General features: G+C 44.9%; 2 protein-coding genes across 28 annotated transcripts in view, besides 1 other annotated feature; one reads left to right on the forward strand and one right to left on the reverse strand.

Moving 5' to 3' along the window:
- Positions 1-13305, forward strand: part of WDFY2 (WD repeat and FYVE domain containing 2) — a 183248-nt gene extending 169943 nt beyond the window's left edge. For 4 of the 7 annotated variants that reach the window (NM_052950.4, XM_011534915.3, XM_024449317.2 and 1 more), the window contains 4 exons: positions 954-1055; positions 1928-2058; positions 3788-3896; positions 5336-13305. In NM_052950.4, the coding sequence (NP_443182.1) occupies positions 954-1055; positions 1928-2058; positions 3788-3896; positions 5336-5365 (372 nt within the window). In that variant the 3' untranslated portion in view covers positions 5366-13305. The remainder of the gene's footprint in view (positions 1-953; positions 1056-1927; positions 2059-3787; positions 3897-5335) is intronic. The other 3 variants (XR_007063659.1, XR_941483.2, XM_011534914.2) reach the window with 3 other exon arrangements.
- The window catches only part of DHRS12 (dehydrogenase/reductase 12), a 49310-nt gene continuing 34682 nt past the window's right edge, over positions 450-15077 (reverse strand). For 9 of the 21 annotated variants that reach the window (NR_165330.1, NM_001377533.1, XM_047430631.1 and 6 more), the window contains 2 exons: positions 14752-14889; positions 13589-13892 (listed from right to left, as the gene is read on the reverse strand). Coding sequence is in view for 17 of the 21 variants with exons in the window: in NM_001377533.1 (NP_001364462.1) it covers positions 13783-13892; positions 14752-14889 (248 nt within the window). In the remaining 4 variants the exon portion in view is untranslated. Of the gene's footprint in view, positions 2229-13588; positions 14890-15077 lie in introns of those variants that run through there. The other 12 variants (XM_047430642.1, XM_047430638.1, XM_047430637.1 and 9 more) reach the window with 4 other exon arrangements.
- Positions 10117-10436: an enhancer, noted in NCBI's record as "active region_7778". NCBI's record gives its function as "activates an Ori minimal core promoter by ATAC-STARR-seq in GM12878 lymphoblastoid cells {active_cell/tissue: GM12878}" and the evidence as "EXISTENCE:reporter gene assay evidence [ECO:0000049][PMID:35858748]".

Below are 15077 nucleotides of genomic sequence, written 5' to 3' on the forward strand. Positions count from 1 at the left end.
CTTGATTTTGCTAAATAACCAAACAGCTGTACTCATTTATACTTCTCATGGAGAACAGGGAGTTTTCTGACATCCCACATCCTCACCAATAGTGATTGTTCCCTCCCTTTCTGGTTTTGCCCTTTTGGAGACAGAGGTAAAATAGTATCTCATTTTTATTTGCATTCTCTGCTTAACAGTAAATTTGAGCCTCTCTTCATATATGTTAGCCATTCAGACTTCCCTGACTGTGAATTGCATGCTCATATCTTTTGTATCATCTGCCATTTTCTCAACTGCTTCTTGTTATTTCCGTATTGATTTTCCAGGGGTTCTTTGTATACAGTAATTTGCAGGAGTTGTTTGTTACAAACTTTATAAATATCTTCTCCTAGTCTCTCTTAACTCTGTGCTATGATACTATTTAATAACCTGGGGGTTTTGTGTTAGTTTATTATATATTGAACATGTTCCATGTCTTTAAATATTTATTTGTTTTTACTACATAATTTTAATGGTAATAAGCTGGTATTTGAGAAATTGTTTCACAAACAAACATTAATACTGCCCCCTCCAGCCTCATCTCTCATTTCCCCATCTGTGCTCCAGCCATCCCCAGGTCTCAGTTGTCTTATTTGTCTGAGAACCTCAGCCTGGGTCAGAGGCTCCTGTGATCTCTCTGCCAAAGCACTCTGTGCTTCTCCCTCTTGGGCCTTCACACACTTATGCTTATGTAAATAATTATTAATCATATTTTCATGATGGTGGAGATTCTTATTCACCACTACATCCCATCCCCAGGGCCTGCCACAGAATAGGCATTCAGTAAATATTTTTTGAATGATTGACTGAGAAATCACACCTCTGTTTCTTTTAAACACATCCTGATAGCTCCATAAGTTTCATCAGGGTCAGTGGTTTCCATTGTCCTGACTGCTGGCCACAGTGACCTGTTCTGTGCTTTATTTGACAAGACCCCTGAATGGTTGGACAGTGATTCCTGCCAAAAGTGTGATCAGCCTTTCTTCTGGAACTTCAAGCAAATGTGGGACAGTAAGAAAATTGGTCTAAGACAGGTGAGTGATATGGATGCTTCATCAAAATGTAATTATATGGAAATAGCTCAACCATGTGATCTTAGAAGAAATAACACCCCTGGGTGGGAGTTGTGGTGAGGGTAAATTATTATCCTGGAGTCACCTCGTGATTGCACAGTAATTTACTCTGTCTACCATAGCCCATTCCTACTGGATTCAGTTTCTGTAGTGGTTGGTTCCCAGTAAGCAGTTAGGGATGTGATTTTAGAATTCTGTTGGCCTCTATTGCAGTGCACCTTACAATTAGAGGTGTCATGCTTAGTTCGTATGGAAACCAGACCATGAAATTATATAAGTGGTGTTTCTCTCTCCTTATTTTACTTTCCCTCCTTCTGATTAATTTTAGTTATTTAGATCTACTTATAATACAGCATTTTCAATCTGATTCCATGGTTCTGTTTGGTCTTCCCCAAGGAAATCAAATGTTAGGTCACCTAGGCTTACCATGGCCAAAGTCAGCAGATTCAATCAGGTTTCCTGCATGTTCTCCTTCATCCAGCAGCATAATCTCCTGAGACGGCAGTTTCTCAGACACCCCGCTTTAAGATCACCTGGCCCCTGGGTGGTTCCTCTGTAGTTCCTAGTATGATCATTGGAAAGGACCAAGAGTAGGGAAAGCAGGAGAGTGGGGTGGTATCCCTGTCAGGTGTGTTACCCAACAGTCCTTGTTGAATAAACAGAGCCCCAGAGAAGAACACATCCAATGTGTTCCCTTTAGTTCTGGGGCTCTCTTGTTCAGCATCCTCACCTGGATGCAGTTGATTACACCTCTCTGCCAGGAGGGGTGAGATGCGGGGGCCTCAGGAGCTGAGGGAGCCGTGATGAGTATCTATTTTATCTCCCTCCTCCAGCACCACTGCCGCAAGTGTGGGAAGGCCGTCTGTGGCAAGTGCAGCTCCAAGCGCTCCTCCATCCCCCTGATGGGCTTCGAGTTTGAAGTGAGGGTCTGTGACAGCTGCCACGAGGCCATCACAGATGAAGAGTAAGTTCCTGCAGCCTGCAGACCGCTTCAGGTTAAGGCGAGAATTTAATCTGAGCCTTGCACTCAGCGCCGCAACCATCACTCAGGTTGCTCTAGTTTCTGCTGGTTTAGAATATAGTCCACGGCAAGCAGTAAAAGCTCTCCTTTGCCACCAAGAGATTTGTGGTATCCTGTGAGATGAGAGAAGAGAAAATACACTCAAAGAATTCATCTCTGTGTTCTTTCTAATTTCTAGGTTATGTGCCTTTAAATTAGCTGCTCCCAGAACAAACCCTTCTGTCTGCTCATTTACTTGAGAATTACCCAGGAGTATAAGGGCTCAGGATTCACTTTCTGTCCCAAGCTGGTATCTTTACAGGAGTTGAGTGAGTCCATGGGTCCAGAAGGTTTCATTTTCCGGGAAGAGCTAAGTCGCTTTACCCAAGAGGCAAATATTCCCAGTTGCCCAGTTACTCAGCTGGCTGCTTGTCAGACCTGCCCAGTAACCCAGGACATAGGTTACTTACCCCTTGGTGTGCTGTGGAGGTGTGGGGGCAAATCTATGTTATCTCTTTAGTGTTGGCTCATTGAAAGCTGCCCCCAGATGTAAACACAGTGCTCTGCAGCATTTCCCTAATTTTAGTGACTTACAGGAGGATCTGCAGGGTAGCTTGTCTTCTCAATCCTTCCAGCACCTTGTATTACAGTAAAATCATAAGTAGTCTTATTTATCCATATCAAATATAAAATAAGATGCCCTTGCATAAGTATGCATTTATGTTCATTGATTATTTTCTACTCATCATACGTGATGAAATTAATGAGAGTTTTCTCATTGAATTAGAGAGTGCAAGAGACCTTAGAGATAGCCTACTTTAATTCTTCATTTTGTAGCTAAAGACATAGACTTTAAGAGTTTAAGGGACTTACAGTTAAGCCTAAATCTTCTAAAAATTTAAAGTAACCATTTTAAGATACTGAAGATCTATCCTGCAGATTTAGCTATAGAAAAAAGGAAAAAAAAAAATTGTCCTGAGAGCCCACTGCAGTGGAGTGGGCCCCTTGAAGCATGATAAGAGCAGTCTCCTAGACTGCACCCTGCACCTTTTCCCGCCTCTGTTTCTTCTGCCTCTTCTCTGTGGAAGCACTTGCATTGCCTCTAGAGCACCTAGGCAGCTGACAAGTCTTCTTACTTAAAAAAAAAAAAAGTATAGGTAAAAAATAATGATGTTTGTTTTTTATTTTGTTTTGCTTGTTACAGCTTTAGAATACTATAGAAAAACCAAGTCTTCAGTCATACCAGTGAAAAAGGAAAAATGAATGGAGGGGGATAGTTTTCCTATTAGAATGACACTTAGTAATATCATGGGACACTTAGTACTATCTTGGTCCTTTTTTTTTTTTTAATTAGACTATTTTACTGGCAAGTCCTTCTGAGCTCAAACTTAGCAAAAGCCCTGTGGTTTTAAAAGCTCGGGTGGAGATTATCACAGACACCATTGGAGCAACATTCTCCAGAAGGACTTTTAGAAATTTTCATCTCTTTCCCATTTTAAAGACTATAAGATTTCTTGTATTTTTTTTTTATCATAACTGGTCACCAGGGAATAAAGGCAGATCTGAGGAGCATTCCTGTCAGTGAAGCAGTTTTAGCCACGAGGCCAAAATTTAGAGCCTAATGTCATCCTAGATCTCTCTCATTCATATGTCACCACCTTTTCCCCTCAGAAGCTTTCTTTGCTCCTTCTAGACGTGCACCCACAGCCACCTTCCATGACAGTAAACATAACATTGTGCATGTGCATTTCGATGCAACCAGAGGATGGTTACTGACTTCTGGAACTGACAAGGTTATTAAGGTAAGATGCCATCTTATTAAGAAGCTTTCCATCTTTGGCCTCATATAAATATACAGGAGCACCAAGAACATGGGAGGCACTGTTCTAAAGGTTATCCTTGGGTAGCCGGCCATGGTGGCATGTGTCTGTAGTCCCAGCTACTCAGGAGATTTAGGAGGGAGGATTGCTTGAGTCCAGGAGTTGAAGGCTACAGTGAGCTTTGATCACATCACTGCACTCTAGCCTGAGCAACAAAGCAAGACCTCATCTCTTAAAAAAAAAAAAAAAAAAAAGTTACCATTGAAGGTGAGTGTTTTTGAGAACCTATTACAAACCTGATACATGCACAGCCTCATCCCAGGCACTGGCTCTACACAAAGAAATAAGACAGAGCTCCAGCCTGCAAGGAATAGATAGTCTACTTGGGACAGACTAAAAAGACTGTAATAGGTCACATATGTAGCAGTCAAAACGGTAATACATATGAGAATTTATAGCACACTGAGCTCTACCTCCCTGACCCATTCTTGGAGGTCACAGCAGGATGAGATAGCTAAAATAACCCACTTTGGAAGCTACCAGATCTCCGTGACTTTGAGAGGAAGTTTAAAATAAACTCTGGGGCTGGGTGTGTTGACTCACGCCTATAATCCCAGCCCTTTGGGAGGTGAGACGGAGGATCACTTGACCCCAGGAGTTCAAGACCAGCCTGGCCACCATAGTGTGACCCTGTCTTAACAAAAAAATCAAAAATTAGCCAGACGTGGTGGTTCCTGCCTGTAGTCCAGCTACTTGGGAGGCTGACGTGCAAGAATTACTTGAGCCCAGTAAGTCGAGGCTGCAGTGAGCCATGATTGTGCCACTGTACTCCAGCCTGGGTGACAGAGCAAGACCCTGTCTCAAAATAATTAATTAATTAAAATAGGATAAACTCTGGCAGCCTCAGGTCCTTTATTTTTGAAAACGAGGTATCTTGTAAAATGGTTTGGAAGTTTAAATGGAAAGGACACAGCACGTGCTTGGCGTCCAGTTAATGGATTGAGTTATTTAATGGATTCAATCTATTTGGAGGGTGGAACAAATCTATATTGTCGCTTTCATGTTGGCTCATCGAATGCTGCCTCAGATGTAAACACAGTGCTCTGCAGCATTTCCCTTTTAGTGACTCACAGGAGGATCTGCAGTGTAGCTTGTCTTCCCAGTCCTCTCAGCCATTAATAGATTGAATCTGCCATGATTCTTCATGAGCTGCATCAAAATTTCAAGCTGTCATTGTCTTGTTTTTGAGCTTTATTTGAACTTTTTTGATGAAAAAAATATTTTACAGATTTGGAAATCATGTTAGTATAGTATGTGGTGGTTTGTTAAATGAAAAAAATTTCCTTGAAGAATTCAGTTCTAAGGACTGTTATCCTCAACACAATTTTAGTTCATTCTGTATCTTCTTTTTCTTTTTGCAGTTGTGGGATATGACCCCAGTCGTGTCTTGATGACTCTCCCAGGAATCAGAAAGATAGTATTTACTAAAGAAACGGTTGTTTTAACCCAAATCATTACCAGAGTGGTAAAGCAGACATGTGAGAAGTAAGAAAGAAACTAAAGACCCTGAATGAATTTGCAGATTACCCATGTGCACAGTGGGGACCTGGCCAGTGAGCACTCGCAAGGGGACTCTTCCAACTTGTTCATACAATATAAAAGAAGCTATTTTTTTAACAAATGGTTTATACAGTCTGGCTGTGCTGCATTGTTTTGAGTGTACCGAAAAATCTGTGTGGGGTGTTTAATTTTTATACTTTTCAACACCCCATTTTACTTGTTGCTTTGTCAGAGAAATAAGGGAGGTATCTACTCAGAGTATTTTGGTCATTATACTTTCTGTGTTTACTTCAACATGTGTCACGTGGCCAGCGGCTTTTTCTTCTCTTCCCTCTGCACCTACCTGCACCTTCTCTGCCTTTCCTGGAGGGGATGTATTTATGTTATTTATTCCCAGTGTTTCTGCTTTCATGTCCTCCTCAGTGGAGAGATTTGGAAACTCATCATGTGGATTCACCAGCCAGCTGCTGGAATTGCCTGAAGAGCGATTTGTTTGTAATGTCTGCCTCATTCACGTTCTTATGAAGTAGAAAAGACTGTGTTTCTGCCTCAGTTGCCTCTGTCTTTCCCACATTAAAAAAAAAAATGCTGTGAGAAAGCTGCTCCCAACCATGGTTATCACAGAAGTAGATTATTTTAACTCAGAGCTTCAACGATCAGTGCCTGGATCATTTAGAATTCAGTTGGAGCCTCCTGAGCCTCTTGTTTTAGCTTTTTTGACGCAGCTCTCCCTCACTCGTAACAATGAAAACAAATGACACACACACAAAATCCTACATCAGCGGCCCTCAACCTTGTTGGCAGCAGGGACCGGTTTCAAAATGAAACTGTTCCACCTCGGATCAGCAGGCATTAGCTTCTCATAAGGAGCACGCAACCTAAATCCCTCGCATGCGCAGTTCACAATAGAGTTTCTGCTCCTGTGAGAATCTGACGCCACCGCTGATCTGATGGGAGGCGGAGCCCAGGCAGTAACACTTGCTTGCCCACTGCTCACGTCTGATGGGTGCCCCCATTCCTCACAGGCTATGGACCAGTACCCATCTGCAGCCCAGGGTTGGGGACCCCCACCATACATGCTCTGAAAATAAGTGTCTTTAAGTTGTGTTTTTCTGTGTGACATCATCTCTGAACTTGAACATGTTCATTACGGCAAGATTGTAATCCTGCTGTATTCCTCGCCCTCTGTATTCTATCCCTTTAAAAACTAGATATTTAAACATTTTATCCTAATGTGTTTCATCAGAACACTTTGCACACTTTCTTACTAAAACGGTATGTGGGTGGTCCGAGACAGAATGGTACCTACAGTGCAGGCTATGTTTCTGTGGGAATGGAAAAGAGGACTTTAGAAAGTGAACCTGAAGAACTCTTATTTCTAAGGGAATCCAGTCAAGCTTGAGAAAATGAAATATTCTTGTGTGTAGTGATTCAGCTCAGGATATTGAAGTCCCTTTTAAAAATCTTATTTTCACCTGTAAAAATAGAATAAAAATTAATGGCAAGCCTGCGCCAGGTGCCTGCCCCTCCTAAGCACTTTACACGCACAGCTCATTCAACCTCACGTGTCGGGAGCATCAGGGAGCTCACCAGTCTCTTGAGGATCACAGGCCAATTGCTTGTCCTTCCCGACCCAAGCCCCACCCCACAGTGTCTTGCTCTCTTCTGATTTTACAGGTTTTTTGGCAGTAATACACATGGGAGTGAAATTGAAATCCTCCCTATTATTTTCCCTCTTTTCCTGGAAAGCCGTTTTTTGCCCTCACAATCATTCATTACTTCTCTAACTAGGGGGAAGTACTACAAGCTGTCCTCAGGTACTGCCCCTACGTGTGTTTCCCTGGGATGGGGCCTTGCTAGAGGTGATTCTGCTGCCCCAGCATTGGGAAGCAGGACCAGTGCATGTGCCCCATGCAGCCACGGTACATGGAAGCTGTCACTTGAGCCATCAGACCGGCTCAGCCCATGTGACCGGAGCTCTGAAGAGGCACACACGCATGCCCCGCACAGGCTGTTAGCACTTGTCGCCTCGCTGCCCTGGTCCAGACTACCCTTGCTTGCGTCAGTCAAAACTGTTGTAACTACTTTGAGTCTTTTCTGCATGATTGCTCTTTGAGAGAACTTTAACAAGGGAATTAAATTTAAAATATTCAAATATCTATTTTGTAGTTTATTACTAGAAGCTGCAGCCACTTACTAAGTTGTATGTAATATAGGACTGTGTGTTGGAAATGAGTAATAGAGCTGAATCACTCCATTTTCCCTTCCTAAACTTTGAGCTTGGCCTGCCGGCAGAGAGAGGAACACAGTATTAGGGCAGCAAAGGCCCAGGCGCCCAGCAAGCCTGTATGGGTTCTGAGATGGGTCTAGATGCGTTCAGACCTCATTCGGGAAGCAGAGTGTCCCCGTCAGATCACATATGTCCTCTACAGTCGCTCTGGCCTGTGACCTTGCACGCCACTCTACCTTCTCCCTCCCAGCCCACAGAGCCACTCAGAGGCTGAAGCCACTTCACAGCCCACTGGTGTTGAGAATCATCATCAGAAAACCAGATATGTCAAGGTATCCATTGCTCTTTCCTTTTCTCTCATCTGTGTGGGTGCTTGAATTTGGTGAAATGCGTTTAGCAAACCAACTGTGTGTTTGTAATACTGTGAATTCTTGCGTTTTGCATTAAGTGTCTCCCCCATTTTTGTAATTTGTAGAGAAATATGTGCTGGTGTTGGGTGTCTTCCAAGCATTTTATGGAAATGGAGGCTCCATTCCTTAGGAGTAAAAGCTGGCGCCAGCACTTGGCTCTTGTTCTGTCTAGGTGAACTCTCATAATTCTTGTTTTACCCTGTTGGATTTGCACTTTACATATATTTTTGCTCTATTACTTAAACATATAGCAGCTTTTACAAATAATGCCTAACATGCCTGCGCTGAGAAAGTGGCAGATCTACACATATCATACGCAGAGTTGTTCTCTACCTGATGGGGCAAAACCAACCACATGTTCTTGGTTCCTCCAAACGAATGACATTACTTGACATTACTGCCTGAGTGTATCTTCACAATAGCAAAATGGTTTGAGATTAAGCATTTGGAATCTTATGTCATTTTGTATGGGGTCAATCCACCATAACGTGTTTCTCATTTGGTTTTAATTATTTCCAGAAATCATAAAGTCACAAAACTGGAAGGGATCTTCAGAGATCTAGAGTGTTTCAAGCAGAAAACACATTAGTTATACAGGGCAGTTAGATATGGCTGAGATGTAAACAAGAGAATCTAAAAGAATGTTCAAGGAATAGCTGTTTTTGAACATTACTTAGTAATGGCATGAGTGGGAGGAGAGACTTTCAGCACCTTGAGACAGGGCGCTCTCTGGAACCAGCTTTGTTCCTCTTATCGAAAGCATATATGACAGTTTTTTTGGCTCCGGCCCTGTGGTGGGGGAGGTAATTATTGCCTTCATCCACATAAATTCCTTCCTATACATTCCCCTCAGACCACCCCAGAGGCAAAACTGAAATGGAAATCCAGTGGCACTTAAAATTCACCCTGCCCCGTTTGGCTGCGATTCCCAGGCTTACAGCACTGCCCTTATGGAATATCACATTTTCATTTTCTGAGATTCATTTTATAAAAGTAAAGGCCAGGTGCCATGGCTCACACCTATAATCTGAACACTTTGGGAGGACAAGGTGGGAGGATTGCTGAGCCCAGGAGTTCAAGACCAGCCTGGGCCACACAGCAAGATCCTGTCACTACCAAAAATTCAAAACTTAGTTGGGTGTGGTGGCACACACCTGTATTCCCAGCTACTCAGGAAGCTGAGGCGGGAGGATCACTCGAGCCCAGGAATTCAAGGATGCAGTGAGCTATGATTGCACTACTGCAGTCCAGCCTGGGCAGCAGAGCAAGGCCCTGAATAAATAAACAAAAGTATAATTTATTTTTGCCTGATATTAATCACTTCTTAAGGCCCAAATTTTTGTTTTTAAGCAAAAGGATAGCTCTAAGTGTGGGTTGCAGTTACTGGACATAAATATTCACTAAATGAGATTCCTTTGGTTATGGCTGTTCATAGAATTTTAATTCTATGTCAGTGTTCTTGTTCACTAAGATATTTCGAAGTGAGAGAAAGCATTTTACCAATACATTCTTATTTTTTCTCCTTTAAAATAATATTGAATTTTTCCTGGTACGAAGACAGATATTTATTAACTTGATTGGAAAACACAGAAATTAAGATCATGTTGAACACTGAGTTATCTAGATGATCCCTGAGATTTGAATGTTCATGTCAACCGTGTTGAGCGCTCACCAGCCACCAGGCTTTAGGCACTGGCAGTGCAAGGTGTCTGAGGCCCATTCTCAGGCTGGGCAGAGGTCACACAGTGAGTAAATGGGTCTTTTCAGTGCAATGTGGTTATGATAGAGGCATGCCAGGGTGCCACTAACCCAGCAGGTGTGGCAGGAGGGGCTTCACAGAGGAAAGGGACTTTGAGCTCAGTGTTAAAGGATGAGGAGTGAGTCATAAGGGGGAAAAATGGAAATGACTTTCCAGGCTTCAGAAACAGCATAAACAAACAAAGGCCTGAGAGCTGGAGTCAGTGTGGTGTGTCCAGGGATCACAAGTGGGCTGGAGCTGCCGGAGAACAGCCAAGTGGCTCAGCTGCCATCCCAGAATTGAGCTCGTCACTATCAGATGCTGCTGCTCCCTGGCCTCAGAGGAAAGCAGCACACAGCTCACCACGAGGGGTTTCCCCAGAGGCTCCTCCTGCAGCCAATGCTACTATTAGTTTATATTATAATAGTATCAGTTTCTTTTTCTTTGGAAATCCCTAGAACTGTTAACTGAAGGTGACTCAGGGTAACTAATTCTGGATCTTTGGGTGCACAGCCTCTCACTGGAGTCTGAGAGGAGGAGGTGGAGACTATCAGTGCACGGCCCGCAACCAGGAAGGACTCCCAGACTAACGCCAAAGGTGTGTTGGGCTCAGCTGCTCCACTGTGGAAAAGGAAAGCCCTGGCCCTGTGGCAGGAGAGGATTGTTCTAGTCAAGTGTGGCGTTGCACGGACAGGCGGTGCCGAGTGTTTGGGTGCAGACACAGGCAGCTGCTGCCCTCCACTTCCTGCTCTTGCAAGTCACAGATGATTCCAGTACAATGTGGGAGGTCCTCCTTACAGGGGCACTTGCAACAGGAAGGCAGAGAGTTTCGTCAATTCAGGTACAGGTCTGTCTGGGAGACCTGGCCCTGTGGAGGCAGGAACACCGTGCAGGGGCATGGCAGCGCCTGTCTTTGCTATCACATCATTTGCCTTTTCCTTGTAGGACCCAAAGATCTATGTCCAAAACTTAGTCCAGAAACATCTGCATTCCTGTTTAAACTTCAGCTCAGTTTCTTAACCAAGAACCACGTCAACCCTCCAGGGTTGTGGTTTGTATTTTTGCCTTTAAGCATTATCTCCTTTCCACCAAGAAGCCTACTTAGGTTTAACACATGAAAGCAGTGTCTAAAAATTAGATCGGTCCTAAATTGGAATGGGATGTCTTCCTTGCATGTCCCATACCAGGGAATTTTTTTAACACACAGTGTAGAGCCTTTGCCAGAGATGTTGAAAGGGAGATTAAAGGCTTGAGGGATGAATTTGATCATCATTCTTAAAGTCCCTTCCAATCCTGTGATTCTCTGATTCCCTGAGTCTCGTTTATTATTGGACATGCCTAGCCCATCACCAGTGACCTGCCCGCATATTGCTGGCTTCCCTTGGATAACGGAGAGCCTATCACCACATGCCTTTGTTGTCTTCCATCATATCAAGTGAGTTGCTTTCTGGACTTTTTCCATCTAGAGCCTGCTAGGTTTGGTTTTGAGAAAAGATGGTGAAGTTTCTTTTCATGAGTTTGTAGGGCAAAAAAAATTCTTTTTAAAGATGGTAAGGGTGGAAATTAATCATGGTACCATCTCATTAAAAATAGATACCTCAAAATGTTTACCTTTACAAGTCAAGAAGAGTATCTGACTTTCTTGGAAGTGTCAAGAATTGCAGGTTGGCTGAAAAGTTAGATTGAGAATCTGACCTTGTTACTTATGATTCTTTTTTCCCTTGGTTCTCGGGGATGCATGAGAAGGTGAGCTGTCACTCACAAAAAAAGGGAAAATGATTTGAAAAATGTTTCACATATACACTTTTTATCATTTTAGTGGATGGCAGCCTTACGTCAGTAGTATATGCCACTATGAAGTATGGCCAAAACCCTAGCGTCACTTGTAACCATTGTACTCTTATGGATTTGTGTCTTACACCATTTGCCTTGCTTTTTAAATGACTTTGTTTTTCAAGGTGCTGTCATTTTGCAAAAGGAAATCTTTATATGAAATGTACAAAAACCGTTACTAACTGGACAACAGGGAAGGTGCTGGCCCCACATTAGTGCCTGCCCACCGCTCTACTTCTAACCAGGGACACGGATCTTCCATTCTCTACATCCACCGGACTGCAGCCCAAGTCTGGACCTGGCTGCAGTGGGCATATTACCGTATGGATATCTTTTTCTTTCTTTTTTTAAAGTGAGGAGATTCTTCAGGGGGTCAGGCTGAGAATGTAATAAGCCTGACATTGGAACAGATTTCTCCCGTGTGGTCTAGCTGGACCCCTCCGGCATTTGCCACACTCCCTGCCAGTCCTGACATTGACTTCCTGAATGTGATTAGGTGGTAATGAGCAAGAATTTCCTAGGATATTGAAACATCTGTATCCAGGCCCCCAATCAAATGCTGCTGAATATTGTGAATGTTTTTACTCCGCTCACTTTCCCACTGTGCTTTCCTCTAACCAAAATATACGTGTAGCCATTACCAATGTACAACTCTCAATGCGGAGTTGCCGCCACGGTTTAAAATAAATCTCTGTGAAAACCTTTCTGCAGCTATGGTCCCATCACGGTTACATGTGGCCACGCACACACCGACAACCTTGCTGTGCTGTTTAGCCCTGTGGGTTCTGTCCAGTTGGTGGGAGGGGGAGGTTCCAGACCACTCCACCTGCTGTCTAGATGCCAGGGAGAGCTGCTGTTTGGAGGTGAAGATGAGCCCTGTTCACCACAGTCTAAGCACAGCACACGGGCTCAAGCCATGGAGCCCTTTTCCTTCATCATGTAAGTCAGCTTTTTCTTGTGCTTAGTAAACTTTTCCAGTGAGGAGAAATGACTTCGGGGCAAACACTGCCAGGGAAAGCCTCATTTAAAACTTGTGAGGTTCATTTTATGGAGAAGAAAAATAGGTGCAAAGGCACCAAGTGACCTGCATGCTATGGAATCACCGTTGAGGGGGTGGCTGGGTTGCCCCGTCCTGGTGCTGCCAGCACAGCGTCGCCCACACCCAGCATTGCTGAGGCCCATCATCCTCCTGCAGAAAAGGAGGCATGCAGTTAAATGGAGCTGGTGCTTGCTTGATAGCGCCTCCTTTTGTCAGAAAGACGCTGATGTTTCAGGCTGGCACACCCAGAAAAATCCCTTCCTTGTGGTCCTTGGCTGATGATGAGCCCTGGATCAGAGTGTCTCCAGGACCACTGAGAAGCTGCAGCCGTCTGGGTTTTCCTCTGCTATGGGGGATGAGTTACGTTTATTCCACCATGGACACCAAGAATGTATGTAGATGTATTCTAAATCTGCTCATTGGTTTTATTACAACTTTTCCTGGAGTCACTAAGAGGTAAAATGGTGTAAATTAGAGGTTTTATCAAAGTGTAGTACCAGAATGCCAGATGCATTACTGAAGCCACTCCTAATCTTAAGCAAATGTAAACTAGGCCTCATTAAATTGTTTGTGTAAATATGCATCGTCCCTTGGTTATGCTGTGCTTCTGGGACCATGCACAGTAAAGGCAGTGTCCAGCCCTCTCCTGGGGCGGGGGGGGGGGGGGGGTGCACAGCGCCAGCCTCTGACACTGGAGGAGCTGAGAAAGGGAGGGGAAGTGGAGTTCACAGGGGGGCATTCCTGCTGCCCCCACCCCTGCGTCCCCTAAGACTGAAATGATGGTTCATCTCAAACTTCGAATTCTTTAGAAAACCATTCTCGAATAAATGAGACTTAAAATAAGAAAAGAACCTGCTGCAGGAGTTCAAGGTGAGCCTGATCACAGCCTCGGTAGTATTTATTTTGAAATAAAAGTTCCCATCCCTTGTAGGCCTCGCTGTGAGGCACAACGTCTTCGAGGGGAAGTTGAAGTGGGGTCTTCTTATTCACTGGTCCCTAGACCGCACCTTCTGGTATCTTCTAAGGCAATTCTGGTACCGCACTGTGTCTGGGTTGGCCTATTTAAATGTCTGAGCCAGCTGTTCCAGGATTTCAATGAGTTTCTCCTCTTCGGCCGGTGAGGAGGACGCTGTAGCGAGAGGCAAGTGTGTAGAAACTGGCTTCCGATCTAAAAGTGAGAGGGAACCGCAGAGAGGTGTGAGCTGCTGCAGCGTGGCTGGGTCCATGTCCCTGTGCTGCTCAGGCCTTGAACCGACGCCTGCTGGAGTGGCAGCACCCTACAGCTGTTAGACCCCCATCCCTGCTGTCAAAGGTCCCACAGGGATCAGGCAGCATGGATTGATATGTAAAGTGCAGTTTGGGAACTGGGAGGCTGCAGCCAGGGCTGGACGGGAGACCACGTTTGGGTGATCAGCAGGAAGGGGTGCGGCCATCCTCCCGGATACCCCAGGGGTCACCAGCGCTTCAGAATTCCTCAAGCAAGGGTGGTTCTCATCAAGAACAGAGGAAAGAGAAGCCAAGCAAAGAGCCTGGCTTCCACCCGAGGTCAAGTGCTGTCTTCGGATGGCGTCCACTCACACGCCTGCCCCCTTAGGAGCCCACTGGGGAGAGACGTGAACAGATCACTGCTTCCAAAAATAGAGAAGCAGAGTCCCTTACACCCTTTGCACTGCAGAGAAGCAGAGTCCGTTACTCCCTTTGCAGTGCAGCTTTGAATAGCGCCCCTCCTGGGCCTCAGCAAACTGCAGAGAAAATCTTCCATTCCCAAGGTAGGAACTGCCTCTCCCGTTCTCACAGGACCTTGATGACAGGGTTATCACAAGTCTCCAAAGAAGCTACCAACCTGGAGTGAAGCGCTTCCCAAAACTAACCTCAGCAGGCAAAGCAATCATCTCGCCAAAGAAGCCCAGGCACCCCCCAGGGGACAGTCCCACCCCAGGTTTCACGGAGGGGAAGGTGCGCCTCGAAGGCCCAGCTGCTGCCCCTAGCCCTGTGTCAGCTGCCTTCACAGCCAGGGAGGAAGTCACCTTGAAAGAAGCGGCCGCTGGGCTGTGCGGCTGCGGCAGAGGAGAGGGCCAGCCACAGCATGGTGTCCGCGCCCTGGGCCTCGGAGCGCAGGCGGTCCCCGAACCTGGCGTGGAACCCCGGCATCGCCTGCCTCACACCTGGGAGAAGGAAGGGTCAGGCGGATTAGGACAGCATTCTCCAGCAAATGTGGTTGACTTCCCTTAATTTAAAAAAAAAAAAAAGTGCAAAAATGAAATGGGATCATAAACTGCTCCTTCTATTTTATAGCACTCACCCAAGCCACTCGGAACCAGTTCCAAAGAACCTTGTTACAAAGCCCCCAAGG

The sequence above is a fragment of the Homo sapiens genome, chromosome 13 (assembly GCF_000001405.40).
Source record: "Homo sapiens chromosome 13, GRCh38.p14 Primary Assembly".
Classification (NCBI taxonomy): Eukaryota; Metazoa; Chordata; class Mammalia; order Primates; family Hominidae; genus Homo; species Homo sapiens.